We start from the raw sequence: 13,200 nt of genomic DNA on the forward strand, positions 1-13,200 counted from the left end.
GTGAACATGGAGGCCTGGTGAACGCACAGGTGGGGGCGGTGGGGAGGTGTGAGGGGCAGATTCTTAACTCTTGTAACAAACGGAGTTTCTGAAGAATGCGGAGGTAGCAATGTGGGTGCGTGATTTAGAAATGAGTGAAGGGAGACATCGCAAGAAGCTTCCAGCACGCTGGAAGCAGAGCTGGGTGTGGTGGGAGACTTGTTTGTCTCATAAAATTTTAACCTTCATTTTTAAAAACTGTGCATGAGTCACTTTGATAGAGGTGATTTTTAAAAGAATAGGAGAGGCTGGGGCAGTGGCTCACGCCTGTAATCCCAGCACTTTGGGAGGCCGAGGCGGGCAATCACTTGAGGTCAGGAGTTCAAGACCAGCCTGGCCAACATGGCAAAACCCTGTCTCTACTAACAATACAAAAATTATCCGGGCGTGGTGGCGGGCACCTATAATTCCAGCTACTCAGGAGGCTGAGGCAAAAGAATCACTTGAACCCAGGAGGCGGAGGTTGCGGTAAGCCGAGATCATGCCACTGCACTCCAGCCTGGGCGACAGAGAGAGACTCTGTCTCAAAAAAAAAAAAAAAAAAAAAAAAAGAGCAGGAGAGAGGAAATGTAAGTGCAGGCAGCCTTTCTGAGGAGATCTGGTTTAAAGCGGGGCAGGGACGTGGGACAGGAGCTTGGGTGCAGGCGCAGGAGGGCGGGCATAGGCTTGTTAAGATGGAGGGCCCAGCAGCAGCTGTGCTGTTGCCAGAGAGAGGGGCTGTCTGTGGGGGCAGCAGCCTGGACCCTCGCCTGGCCTCCTGGAAGCACCTGTGGAGAAGAGGCCTCAGCTCCAGGCCCCACCCTTCCCTCTTGGTGCTGGGGTAAGGGGCTCTGAGGGACAGCCTCTTTTCCCATGGCTTCCCAGACATAGCAAGGTGTTCCAAGGGGGTCCTGGTGCCTGAGGCTTTGGAGGCCCCAGAGCACATGTGCTGATACTCAAGTGCACACTGGGATTTTCAAGGAGCCAGTATAGAGGAGGAGGAACCATGGAGCCAGTGTCTGGGGGCGTGGTGGCGGGACTGGACCTCTGGGGCCTGTGTTGGGCCTTAGCTCGGTAACTGGTGACCCCTTTGCCCTCTGAGCCTGCTTTTCATCCTGTTGTGAATATCAGATGAGATCATACACATGGAAATGCTTGTCAACTAAAACAGCACAAACACAGTGTAATGAATTATTATTATCCCAGTAAAGTCATGGTTCGGGAAAATGAGGGAATGTGGGCTCTGTTGCGCGTGCCTGGGAAGCTAAACCCCTGCGGTGTTGTTCCTGTGGGCAAGTGTCTAGCGCATGCAGGTGCCGTCTGACAAGTCGACTTCGCTCTGTGAAGGTCGTGCTCGGCCCTGATGGGATATACAGCCAGGGTGGGGCGGCGCAGTGAAGATGGCTCTTCTCTTTCTCCCCCGTGTCCATCCATCAGACCACAGCCTTTGCCTGGGCAGGGGTCCCCGTGTAGGGGTGAATGCCTCTCATGTGGCTGCCTGCAGCAGGGTGGCCCTTTGTGTACTTGTCTGAGCCAGTGCCACCTACACTCAAGTTGGGACAGTGGAGATACTCGGAGAATTGCCCATTCGGTGACGATCCCCCAACAGTAGGTCTCCCCCTGATCACTTTACCTGACCGCACACTTCCTTTCTTGGACTTAGGTGACTCCCCGGACAGCTCAACACCAAAGCTTTCGCGGGCACAGCGGCCGCAGTCGTGCACGTCAGTTGGCAGGTGAGTGACGTTGGTCCGCTTCCTCTCTTTATTGCTGTAGAATGACTCACGCATCTGCTTACCTCAACCATTTGGTAACCCTGCAGCCTGGCCTGCGCATCTGGCTTCCACGCCAGTCTCTTGGGTGCAGGCCGAGCTCCTGATGTGTACCAGCCCCTTTTAGATCTACTGCAGACTTAAGACATCTGAGACTTCCGCGATGCAGTACGGCAGCTCCCAGCCCTGGACTGGTGTGGTTGCCATGCCAGGCTGCACAGCAGAAGTCCCTCCAGCGCTCTTAGGACTGCCCGTGCCCAGCCCACCCCAGGGGTTCTGATTTGGTTCATCTAGGCTGAGGCCCAGCAGCTGGATTTCCTAAAGCTCCTGGGTGACTGTGACTTGTACCGCAGTTGAAGAGCACTGGCGTGGCACCTTGATTCTGACTTGGCTTTTTTTTTCTTTTTGAGATGGAGTCTTGCTCTGTCGCCCAGGCTGGAGTGCAGTGGCACGATCTCGGCTCACTGCAAACTCCACCTCCCGGGTTCACGCCATTCTCCTGCCTCAGCCTCCCTAGTAGCTGGGACTACAGGCACCCGCCACCACACCCGGCTAATTATTTTTGTATTTTTTTTAGTAGAGATGGGGTTTCACCGTGTTAGCCAGGATGGTCTCGATCTCCTGGCCTCGTGATCCGCCCGCCTCTGCCTCCCAAAGTGCTGGGATTATAGGCGTGAGCCACCGTGTCCGGCCTGACTTGGCTTTGAATCCCAGCTCCACCACTTCCTGGTCTTTGATCCAGTTTAAGTTCCCGAATGTTGCTGACCTTTTTCCTCACGTCAAGTAGGGATGGCCCAAGCTCAGCTGGGGCCACTTGCAAGTCTTTTGGTGACTCTGGGCTTTAGTTTCCTCCTGTGTGAGCTTGAGACACGCTTCGCGAGGTCGAACTAGCCAGTCCCTCACGTGCTGCGCATGGTGCCATGCTAAGCTGCCGTCCCTCCCATGCATGGTGGTGAAGAGCAAAGACCAGAGCCAGGCAGCCACTGGCCACCTCACTTGCCTCTCTGTGCCTCAGTTTCCTCACCTCACCCAGGGTTACTTTGAGAATTACATTTATTGGAATTTTTCTTTTCTTTTCTTTTTTTTTGAGACAGAGTCTCACTCTGTCACCCAGGCTGGAGGGCAGTGGCACGATCTCAGCTCATGGTAAGCTCCGCCTCCTGGATTCACGCCATTCTCCTGCCTCAGCCTCCCAAGTAGCTGGGACTACAGGCGCCCGCCACCACGCCCGGCTAAGTTTTTGTATTTTTAGTAGAGACGGGGTTTCACCGTGTTAGCCAGGATGGTCTCGATCTCCTGGCCTCGTGATCCACCAGCCTTGGCCTCGCAAAGTGCTGGGATTACAGGTGTGAGCCACCGCGCCTGGCCGGAATTTTTATTTTCACTGGAATTTGTGGTGGGGCTGCCAGAACTTAGCAATAAAGGGAGGAGGGTGGGGAATCCTAGAACTTCGCGGAGAGCAGCAGCTGGGGTTGACAGCAGTTGCTCTCTGGAGTGATTCTGTTTCTCTCTTGATTTCAGCCTCGTTGCTTTTCTTCCATTTAAATAGGCTAGAGTCAGTCTGTTTTCAGGCTCCTTTTGAAGAACGTAACAATTGCCCAGAATAGAGCAATAGACAGGTCTCCCTGGCCTCCCGAGGGGCCATGGTGGTGGGATGTCCTTGACTCATTTTATTTTAAAATAATGTCTTTGTCCTTTTTGGGCTACTATAACAAACGTTCTATCGACTATGTAGCTTGAACAACAAACATTTGTTTCTCACAATTCTGGAGGCTAGAAATCCAAGATCAAGGCACCTGCAGATTTGGTGTCTGGTGAGGGCCTGTTTCCCGATTCACAGCTGCCGCCTTCTCTGTCCTCACTGGGTTAGGGGTGAACAAGTTTCTTTTATGCTGATTTATTTATTTATTTATTTTGAGATGGAGACTCGCTCTGTCACCTAGGCTGGAGTGCAGTGGCGCGATCTTGGCTCACTGCAACCTCCGCTTCCTACGTTCAAGCAATTCTCCTGCCTCAGCCTCACGAGCGGCTGGGACCACAGGCACATGCCACCACACCCGGCTCATTTTTTGTATTTTTAGTAGAGATGGGGTTTCACCGTGTTAGCCAGGATGGTCTTGATCTCCTGACCTCGTGATCCACCCGCCTCGGCCTCCCAAAGTGCTGGGATTACAGGCGTGAGCCACCCGCCCGGCCTATGTTTGTTTATTTTTTTGAGACAGGGTCTTGCTCTGTTGCCCAGGCTGGAGTGCAGTAGTGCAATCATGGCTCACTGTAACCTCTACCTCCTGGGTTCAAGTGATCCTCACACTCCAGCCTCCTGAGTAGCTGGGACCACAGGTATGCACCAATGTGCCCTCTTTTATAAGGGCACAGATCCCATTCCTGAGGCTTTGGCTCCATGACCTGATCTCCTCCTAAAGGCCCCACCTTCTAATGCCATCACCTTGGGGGCTAGGATTTCAGCACATGAATCTGGGGACACAGACATTCAGTCCACAGCAAATGCCAGTTGACTCAGCCTCTTCTTCATCAACAGCAACACAAGAAAGCAACAGTTAGGCAAGACCCATGGGTAGCCCGAACCACAGGTATTGCCAGGGACGTGAGGGGTGTGAGGACCAAGTGCCCAGCTTCCTCTTCACTCATTTGTGTTCACATCTGATTCAGGCGACCTTAAGCCTGGGTATGAGTGGGCGTGCAGGGAGACCTGCTCCCCCATTCGCTGGCCCACCAGACAGGCTGCGGCTCTGACTTCCTTATGGCAATATCTATGACACCAACTGAAAGATGATTTGCTCAGTCTCTTCTGAACCTCGTGTGAAGTGACATTTAATGGTAGCATCCGTAAAGTGTAATCACATTTGATCAATTTTCTTTTGAGTTGCCTGTGAGGAAGGGCAGTGAAGCCATTCCCACTGGGAGCCCGAAGCCCACGCCAGGATGGGTTGGTAGCAGCTCGGAGCCTTGCCCGCCTTGGGGCCTGTCCCAGGAGAGCGGAGCTCACACGGGCTCCCTGGCTTGGCTCTTCTGGGCTGAAACCAAAGCCCTCAGCACTGCATTAGCACAGGCTGAATGATGAGATCTTACTTTTTCTATGTCATCTCAGCTCACGACACTGATGTTGTGTTTGCCAGGGTCACTGTCCACAGCACCCCGGTTAGACGCTCATCTGGGCCAGCACCACAAAGCCTGCTGAGCGCATGGCGTGTGTCAGCCTTGCCCACACCCGCCAGCCGGCGCTGCTCTGGCCTTCCACCGATGACCCCCAAAACGATGCCCAGGGCCGTGGGCTCTCCCCTGTGTGTGCCAGCTCGGAGACGTTCCTCTGAGCCCCGCAAGAACTCTGCAATGAGGTAAGACACGAAGGTGGTAATAAATTGGTCTCAAATTCCTAGGCTTGCTGTCCCAGACAGTGACATACCTTTTTCTTGCCTTGCTCCAGGTTTTAGTGAAGTAAATAGTATTTGGAAAGTTTGTTTGTTTTTTTTTTCATTGCAAAGAGAAAATGCAATAGACATGAGCATAGAGGAAAATTAAAGGTATTACAAGGAAATACTGCGTGTAATTCTCTGATAATCAATTTGAAAACCTAATGGTTTTCTAAAATTTGCAAGTTATTGGCCAGGTGTGGTGGCTCACGCCTGTAATCCCAGCACTTTGGGAGGCCGAGGCAGGCAGACTGCCTGAGCTCAGGAGTTTGAGATCAACCTGGGTAACATGGCAAAACCCCATCTCTACAAAAAATACAAAAATAAGCTAGGTGTGGTGGCGTGCACTGTAGTCCCAGCTATTTAGGGGGCTGAGGTGGGAGGATCACTTGAGCTCAGGAGGTTGAGGCTGCAGTGAGCTGAGATTGCCCCGTTGCACTCCAGCCTGGGGGACAGAGTGAGACCCCGTCTGTAAAAATTAAAATAAATAAAATAAATAAAATAAAATTTATCTAAATTGACCCAGAACACATGAAGTAAGCCATAGCTGGAGCTCAGAAATGATTAAAGATTGAAAAAGGCACCTGATTCCAATGAAGTCACACCTCAGTCGTGTATAACCTTTGAAACAGATCATGCTAGTGTGTAAAGTTAACTATCTTAGCCGGGCGCGGTGGCTCACGCCTGTAATCCCAGCACTTTGGGAGCCCGAGGTGGGCAGATCACGAGGTCAGGAGTTCGAGACCAACCTGGCCAACATGGTGAGACCCTGTCTGTACTAAAAATACAAAAATTAGCTGGGCATCATGGTGGCATGCGCCTGTAATCCCAGCTACTCAGGCGGCTGAGGCAGGAGAATCACTTGATTCTGGGAGGCAGAGGTTGGGGTGAGCCAAGATCGCACCACTGCACTCCAGCCTGTGCAACAGAGACCCTGTCTCAAAAAAACGAAAAACAAAACAAAAAAACATATATAATATCCGTGTATTTATACACAAATTACACATTTTTATATATCTTATATGTTTCTGTGTATGTACATCTACCAACAGTAGGTGTTGACACTGTGTGTATCTATGTAGTTCTATGATAATGCAGAAGACTCTGGAAGAAAATATGCTGGCATGTGTGTGCATTACAGAGGGAGAGGGAAAGGCATGGAATGCCAAAGAGAAAATGAGAAACAAGGCCTCACTGAAAACACCAGATCTGATATATAAATAGGAATATGTGTTTAACTATCTTGTATGTTTGTAAGTGTAAATGTAGAAACAAAATTCTGCTTGTTTTTGGAATTTTCTTATGAAACCTCTGAAGTATTAAAAAGAAGGTACTGTGTGTTAGTTGATGGACCTGCGGCTTTGCTGGGTTTCCGGAAGGAATTCAGTTTTGCGTGGCAGGTACTCGAGGACCTGTGGGCAGCAGGCAAGCCCAGCAGCGCCCGTGCAGGGTCCTGTGGGAGACGCCATTGGAAAGCTGGTGTGGGCAGCCTGTACCTGGGGCCTCAGCCCTGATCAGGGCACTGGGCAGCAGGGGAGGGGGCATCTGGGGCAGAAGGAGCCAGCTGCATACCCACCTAGGCCTAGGAGAAGCCCCCCACTAGCTGCATGCGAGGAGGAGCTGGCCGTGGCTCAAGGAGGGGTCCCTGTGTGTGGTCTGGGCTCCCTTCAGGAGGTGACGGGCGTGCGCATTACCTTGTGTTTAGTAACTAGAAAGGAAGGGGCTAACATCAGCCCCTGGTGATGCTGGACAGCTAAGATTTGTGAGCTGAGAGGAACTGGAGAGATCACTGAGCCCCTTCCATACACAGGAAACTGGGGGTCTGGAGGGTGAAGGCCCTAGAGCCGGGACGCACTCCACCCAGGACACTGTTCCTCCAGAGTGACTTGCTTCCCACATCAGCCAAGTGAACGAGCATTTTAGAGACATTTTCTCATAAGTTTTTTTCCTTCCCACAGAACTGAACCAACAAGGGAGAGCAACAGAAAGACAGATTCCAGGCTGGTGGATGTGTCCCCTGACAGGGGTTCTCCTCCTTCCCGTGTGCCTCAGGCACTTAACTTTTCTCCAGAGGAAAGCGATTCTACTTTCTCCAAAAGTACTGCCACAGAAGTAGCTCGGGAGGAAGCCAAGCCGGGTGGAGATGCAGCCCCTAGTGAGGTGGGCAGAACGGGCGCAGCTGGGTTCTGTTAGCTGAGATTCCTGGAGGCTGCTCGGGAAGCCCGTGGAACCCAGGGCTGTGGCTGGCGGAGTTCCCTGCCATGCTTCATCCTGGGGCCAGTGCCTCCGTGCCAAGCAACCCAAAGGGAGGCAGTCAGGACTTCCAGGCCTCCAGGGGAGAAAGCCCTGCATTTGACTAAGGCAAGGGTCAGGGATCAAAGCTGAGGAAGCGGGAAGCAGGGTGGCAGGAGCTGGTGGCTGCTGGTGAGCGGGTATGGACAGGGAGGTGGGCAACAGTCAGAGAGGCACGGCCCACCCCATACAGAGCCTCCTTCCACCAAGGCCCCGCCTGATTCCTTGGCTTTCCAAACCGCCAGCCCACCTGGAACATGAGCAAAGCTCACATTCTCCCAAGATGGTTGCCAGAAAGATGCTGGACTCTGCTCTTAACCTTGGTTTTGTACCCAGGCTCTTCTTGTAGATATCAAACTGGAACCACTCGCGGTCACTCCAGATGCTGCAAGCCAGCCCCTCATTGACCTTCCTCTCATCGACTTCTGCGATACCCCAGAAGCACACGTGGCTGTAGGATCTGAAAGCAGGCCTCTGATCGACCTCATGACAAACACTCCAGACATGAATAAAAATGTGGCCAAACCTTCACCGGTGGTGGGACAGGTGAGAAGTGGCAGGTGGTTCATGTTGACTCAGCCCTGGGTGTCCTCAGTTCTGGGATTGTTCATCCTCCCAGGGCCATCGTGGGACCCTTGAGAGTGGCTGTTGAGTCTTCTCAGCTACACACCTCAGGGCAGGATGCACCTTTGGCAGCCTGAGCTTCTCAAAGATCAGCTGCCTCTGAGGTGCCCTGCCAGGACCCTGCCAGCTCTTGTTGGACAGGGACCGCCTCTCTCCTGCCCATAGACCCCAGGGCCAGATGTGGGACAGAGGAATGTGCATGGTGGGGGCCTGGGCTTCTCCGTGTGTGTCCTGTCTCCTTCCAGCTTCTTAGACGTGGTGGCCCAGAGTGCTTTTCAGTGCACCCGAGCCAGGATGAGCGAGTGGCTGTGATGACCCACGCAGCCAGTCCTCTGTGCAGGGAGGGGAAGGGAGGCCCTAGCCGGATCCACGCTCACCTCCTCCACTCTGCTCTCTTCCAGCTCATAGACCTGAGCTCCCCTCTGATCCAGCTGAGCCCTGAGGCTGACAAGGAGAACGTGGATTCCCCACTCCTCAAGTTCTAAGCCGAACCAAATCCTTTGCCTTGAAAGAACAGCCCTAAAGTGGTTTTCAACCCTCAGAAACAAGCTTTAGGCTGGTCGCAGTGGCTTACACTTGTAACCCTAGAACTTGGGAGGCTGAGGTGGGCGGATTACTTGAGCCCAGGAGTTCGGGACCAGCCTGGGAAATATAGTGAAACTCCTGTCCCTACAAAAAATACAAAAATTAGCCGGGTGTGGTAGTGCATGCCTGTAGTCCCAGCTACTTGGGAGGCTGAAGTGGGAGGATGGCCTGAGCTCAAGGAGATGCAGGCTGCAGTGGGCTGTGATTGTGCCACTGCACTCCAGCCTGGGCACCAATGTGAGAACCTGTCTTGGAAAAAAAAAAAAAGAAACATGTTTTAGTAGAAGTTTTATTTGAAAAAGAAAAATAAGCATAAATATATTCCCAGTGCTGGAGAGGGTGGGCTGAGGGACTGGGGCCAGCACGGACCACCCAAGGCCTCTGCTTCCCGCCGCCACCCTCCTCGCTGCCATTCTCTGGGCTGGAATGTGAAGCCTCAGTCACTCTAAATGAAGAATTTTCTTTTGAATGTTTTGTATGTAAAATAGCAAGTGGCTATTTTTAAAGTTAAGTTTGTATAAATAGTTAGATATTCTAGATTTACATTAAATTGTAAAATAAATGGACTTATTGAAGCATATCTTGATTTTTAAGCTTATCTTGATTTTCAAACATGCATAGCTATTTTTATCACTCTAATCAGTAAGGCTACTATCTAGACTCGAATGCTTTCATACAAGTGATTTTCAAAAATTAGTCAATAAAAATTGATGTCAGTGCAGGCCCAGGCCCGCCCCCAGATACACTAGTTTCTAGGTCTGGGGCCAGCCTAGTAATTGTTACTAGGCACACAGGTGATGCTGACTCGATGGCCTGAGACACACCCCTTGAGAAGAAGCTGCTCTGGGGAGACGAGGGTATGAGTGGAAAGAGGATGGGCGAGGAGGCCGGGCTTACCTGGACACTAAGGTGATGGACGGCGTCTGCTGGGCAGGCCTCGGGGAGGACCCCTCAGCTTTGCTCTCAGCAGGGGCCCGACAAGCTCAGTGGGCAGTGGCAGGAACTGAGTGCCACTGGAAAGCCCATTCCCTTTATTTAGAAAACGAGCTCCAGGAAGCCGCTACTTTGTGTCCATTTCTCTTGAGGAAACTTACCACCTTGGTTGAGCGGCTTCATGGCAGACAGCAGCGAGCCAGCGGCCGGACTCTGTATTTCGGACCCCACTCCAGTGCTCCCTGGGTCATACCAGGATCTGCCTCTGTCCACAAAGATGAGGGAAAATGATGACTGTGCTGTGCTCTCTACTTCCTGCGGTTACTGCGTGATTCTAAAGCTGCCACTCGGAACAGCGAGTCCTCTGCCGTCGAGAGCAGGGAGGGGTAGGGTGGACAGGCGATGCCGTGGAAAGACGTCTCGGTGGAAACTGCCATGGTGGAAAGGTGGCGCGCTTCTCACGGCTGAGTTGCTGCGCCTGCAGACGGAAGCTCCCCACAGGCAGAGCTGCTTGGATGTGTGAGTCATGAAGCCAGAGAAGCCCCGCTCCATGAGCAGTGACTCCCCAGGTAAGACTTTCAGCCAGTCCTGCGCTGGCCAGAGTCGCCGGGCCCGTGGGAATCACGGCGGCTCCACGTCTCCGGGACAGCAGGGAATCCCAGGGGCCTGGTAGTGACACCGGAGGGTCCTCAGGGAACCTCTGGTCTGGCCCTCATTTCCCAGGGGTAGAAAAGGAAATCTGAAATTGGATTAAACCATGCAGCAAATATTTACTGAGGCTCTGCTATGGGTCAGGCTGTTTTCTGCTGGGTGCAGCGGGGTGCAGCGCTCAGGTACCCCTTCCCTCTTAGGGCTTCCCACTGGGTAGAGGAGGGAGATGTTCAGCTCCCAGCTCATCTGTAACCAAGCTGTGCCTCAGTTGTCTCCATTCAGGCCCTGGGGGTGAGCCCAGCCTTTGGCCTGTGGCCCCAATCCCGCTGCTGGGGCTCCTCCCCCCTGTGCCCTTCCCCTCCCCGGTGCGGCTTCAGTGCAGCCAGGCTCTCCTTGGTACCCAGGCCAGACAGAGTGATCTGACTTTAACTCTCTACAGACAGACAGGAAGAGGGCCCAGGAGCAGGAGCTGGACAGAGCAGAGCTGCTCCTGTCCTGAGGCTCCAGGCCCATTCCTTTCTGTCTGGGTTTCTCCACTGGGCTCTTCCTGCCGAAGCCACCCAGTCTGAGCTCCCCCACTCCCTCTCCTGGTACACAGGCCCTTGGTTCACCCCTCAGAGGGCTCCGGGTGGGAAGATGCACAGTTAGTTGGAGACTGAAGGGCTCCGTGGCCCCAGGAGGGCCAGCCCCTTTCTCCATAGGATGGCACCGAACACCTCAGCTGCCACTGGAGGGCCACCCTCCCAGGTCCAAGACGTCCAACTTCATGTGATTTTTTACCACATTTCATTAATTTTGTGGAGCAAATGTCTTCCCATTTTACATCTCTGAAATCCACGTCTCTGACATTGCTGTTGGCAGGCGGCACCTGGGATGTCGTCATCCTGGCCATAACTAGCCTGTAGTGGACCTGGGTGATACACAGGGGCCTCTTGGAGCTACGGAGTACCTAAAATACCATATAGTTAACCAAAAAGTAGCAGAAAATATGTGAGCATGGATCTCAGCCATTTTGCGGGTTGGCTGCAACTGGGACTTAACCTGCCATAACCTTAGATCAGCCTGCCACACCCAAGGAGGGCCTGCCCCCAGACCCAGACTCAAGTTTAGACACAGCCTAAACGTGTACCTCTAAATCTGCACAAACTCAGCTGCCCAGATACTGGATTTCCTTATCTCTTCCGGGAAATGCAAGATGAAATTGCCCTCCTGTTGGGTATTTTCCTGATCCTTTATTCTGAAAAAGTGGTCATCCTTTTCCCCACAGGCCCTGTGACCTCCCTCCTGTCTTGCAGCTCCTCCTGGCACCAGTCCCCAGGGCTCTCCTGTTGGTAGTTCCTGCTTTTCTTCTTGGAAATTCCTCGTGGACCTCGAGATCTTTACCCTAAAATAGTTCTGTTGAATTTCACCCTGGCAATGTAAATTGATAGCTTATCTTCACAGATGCCAGACAATGGACAACTCACCATCAGTCCTCTGCTCACCTGAGACAAATGCATGTCTGATTGCTTCCTCTGCCCTATTGTTTATGTGAAAATGCAGATTCACTGAGCCAGACTAAGGCATCAGTGACTGTTCCTCTACCTGCCTCTCACATGGAGATTGTGTATTCAGTGAAAGGCTGATCAAAGACCCAAAGGAATGCAACAGTTTATCTCTTATCTACCTATGACCTGCGAGCTGCCCACCACCCCCAGTTGTTGCGCCTTTCCAGACAGAACCAGTGTACATCTTACACGTATTAATTGATGTCCTGTGTCTCCCTAATATGTATCAAAGCAAGCTGTGCCTCGACCACCTTGGGCACATATCCTCAGGACATCATCCTGAGGCTGTGTCACTGGCATGTCCTTAACCTTGGCAAAATAAACTTTCTAAATTGAAACCTGTCTCAGGTACTTTGGGTTCATACCACAAGGGAGGGTTCTCATGCACATGTGCCTAATAATAACAACTATCACAAAAGACTGCAAAAACCACAACTTTACACAAAGGCTATCGTAACCTTCCTCAAAAAAAAAAAAAAAACAAAAAACTTCTGTTGCAAGGACATCTGCCCAGCAACTGCTTGTCCAACCCTGGAGTGCTGTCACCCTTGTTATTGATCTTTGTAGCCAAAGAATTATCTCAAAACAATGATGTGATCCTCATTTTCCCTTTAAAAACCTTTGTCTTCCTAGGCCGGGCACTGTGGCTCACGCGTGTAATCCCAGCACTTTGGGAGGCCGAGGCGGGCGGATCACAAGGTCAGGAGATCAAGACCATCCTGGCCAACATGGTGAAATGCCGTCTCTACTAAAAATACAAAAATTAGCTGGGTGTGGTGGCATGTGCCTGTAATCCCAGCTACTCCGGAGGCTGAGGCAGGAGAATCGCTTAAACCCGGGAGGCGGAGGTTGCAGTGAGCTAAGATCACGCCACTGCACTCCAGCCTAGTGACCAAGTGAGACTGTCTCAAAAAAATAAATAAATAAAATAAAAACCTTTGTCTTCCTTTACTTCCCTGAATACCCACATAGCTTATTGTGGCATGCATATTCCCATTGCAATGCCCTATTCACAAATGAACATCTTTTTCGTTCAGAGTCTCCCTGTGCTTTAGGTAGACCTTGTCTAGATGCTAACTCGTAGAGAAGAACTCAGCTTGAATATCACCCCTGGGGGATGACCTCCATTCTCTCCTCCTTCCTTTATTCAGCGAGGTTATGAAGCACCTGCCCTGGGCCAGGGGCTTTTCTGGGCATGGAGTAGGAGTGGACAGAACACAAAACCCCTGTCCAACACACCTCACAGACATTAAGGATTGAGTGCTGAGTATGCTTGGAGTCAAACTGTAAAAGATTTGAAGATATTTATTCATGTCATAGTCCCAGGAGATCCTGAGAACACGTGCT

The 13,200-nt window shown here is 51.9% G+C and overlaps 1 protein-coding gene across 4 annotated transcripts in view, besides 1 other annotated feature; it reads left to right on the forward strand.

Annotated features, from left to right (window-relative positions):
• GTSE1 (G2 and S-phase expressed 1) overlaps positions 1-9,302 on the forward strand; it is a 33,941-nt gene extending 24,639 nt beyond the window's left edge. For 2 of the 4 annotated variants that reach the window (XM_047441391.1, NM_016426.7), the window contains 5 exons: positions 1,682-1,754; positions 4,928-5,146; positions 7,180-7,381; positions 7,850-8,059; positions 8,539-9,302. In XM_047441391.1, coding sequence (XP_047297347.1) covers positions 1,682-1,754; positions 4,928-5,146; positions 7,180-7,381; positions 7,850-8,059; positions 8,539-8,622 — 788 coding nt within the window. In that variant the 3' untranslated portion in view covers positions 8,623-9,302. Of the gene's footprint in view, positions 1-1,681; positions 1,755-4,927; positions 5,147-7,179; positions 7,382-7,849; positions 8,060-8,538 lie in introns of those variants that run through there. The other 2 variants (XM_047441392.1, XR_007067974.1) reach the window with 2 other exon arrangements.
• Positions 1,130-2,329: an enhancer, noted in NCBI's record as "P300/CBP strongly-dependent group 1 enhancer chr22:46718535-46719734 (GRCh37/hg19 assembly coordinates)". NCBI's record gives its function as "activates an origin of replication core promoter dependent on BRD2, BRD4, P300/CBP, MED14 and CDK7 cofactors, with strong dependence on P300/CBP, by STARR-seq in HCT116 cells {active_cell/tissue: HCT116}" and the evidence as "EXISTENCE:reporter gene assay evidence [ECO:0000049][PMID:35650434]".

The sequence above is a fragment of the Homo sapiens genome, chromosome 22 (genome assembly GCF_000001405.40).
Source record: "Homo sapiens chromosome 22, GRCh38.p14 Primary Assembly".
NCBI classification, from domain to species: Eukaryota; Metazoa; Chordata; class Mammalia; order Primates; family Hominidae; genus Homo; species Homo sapiens.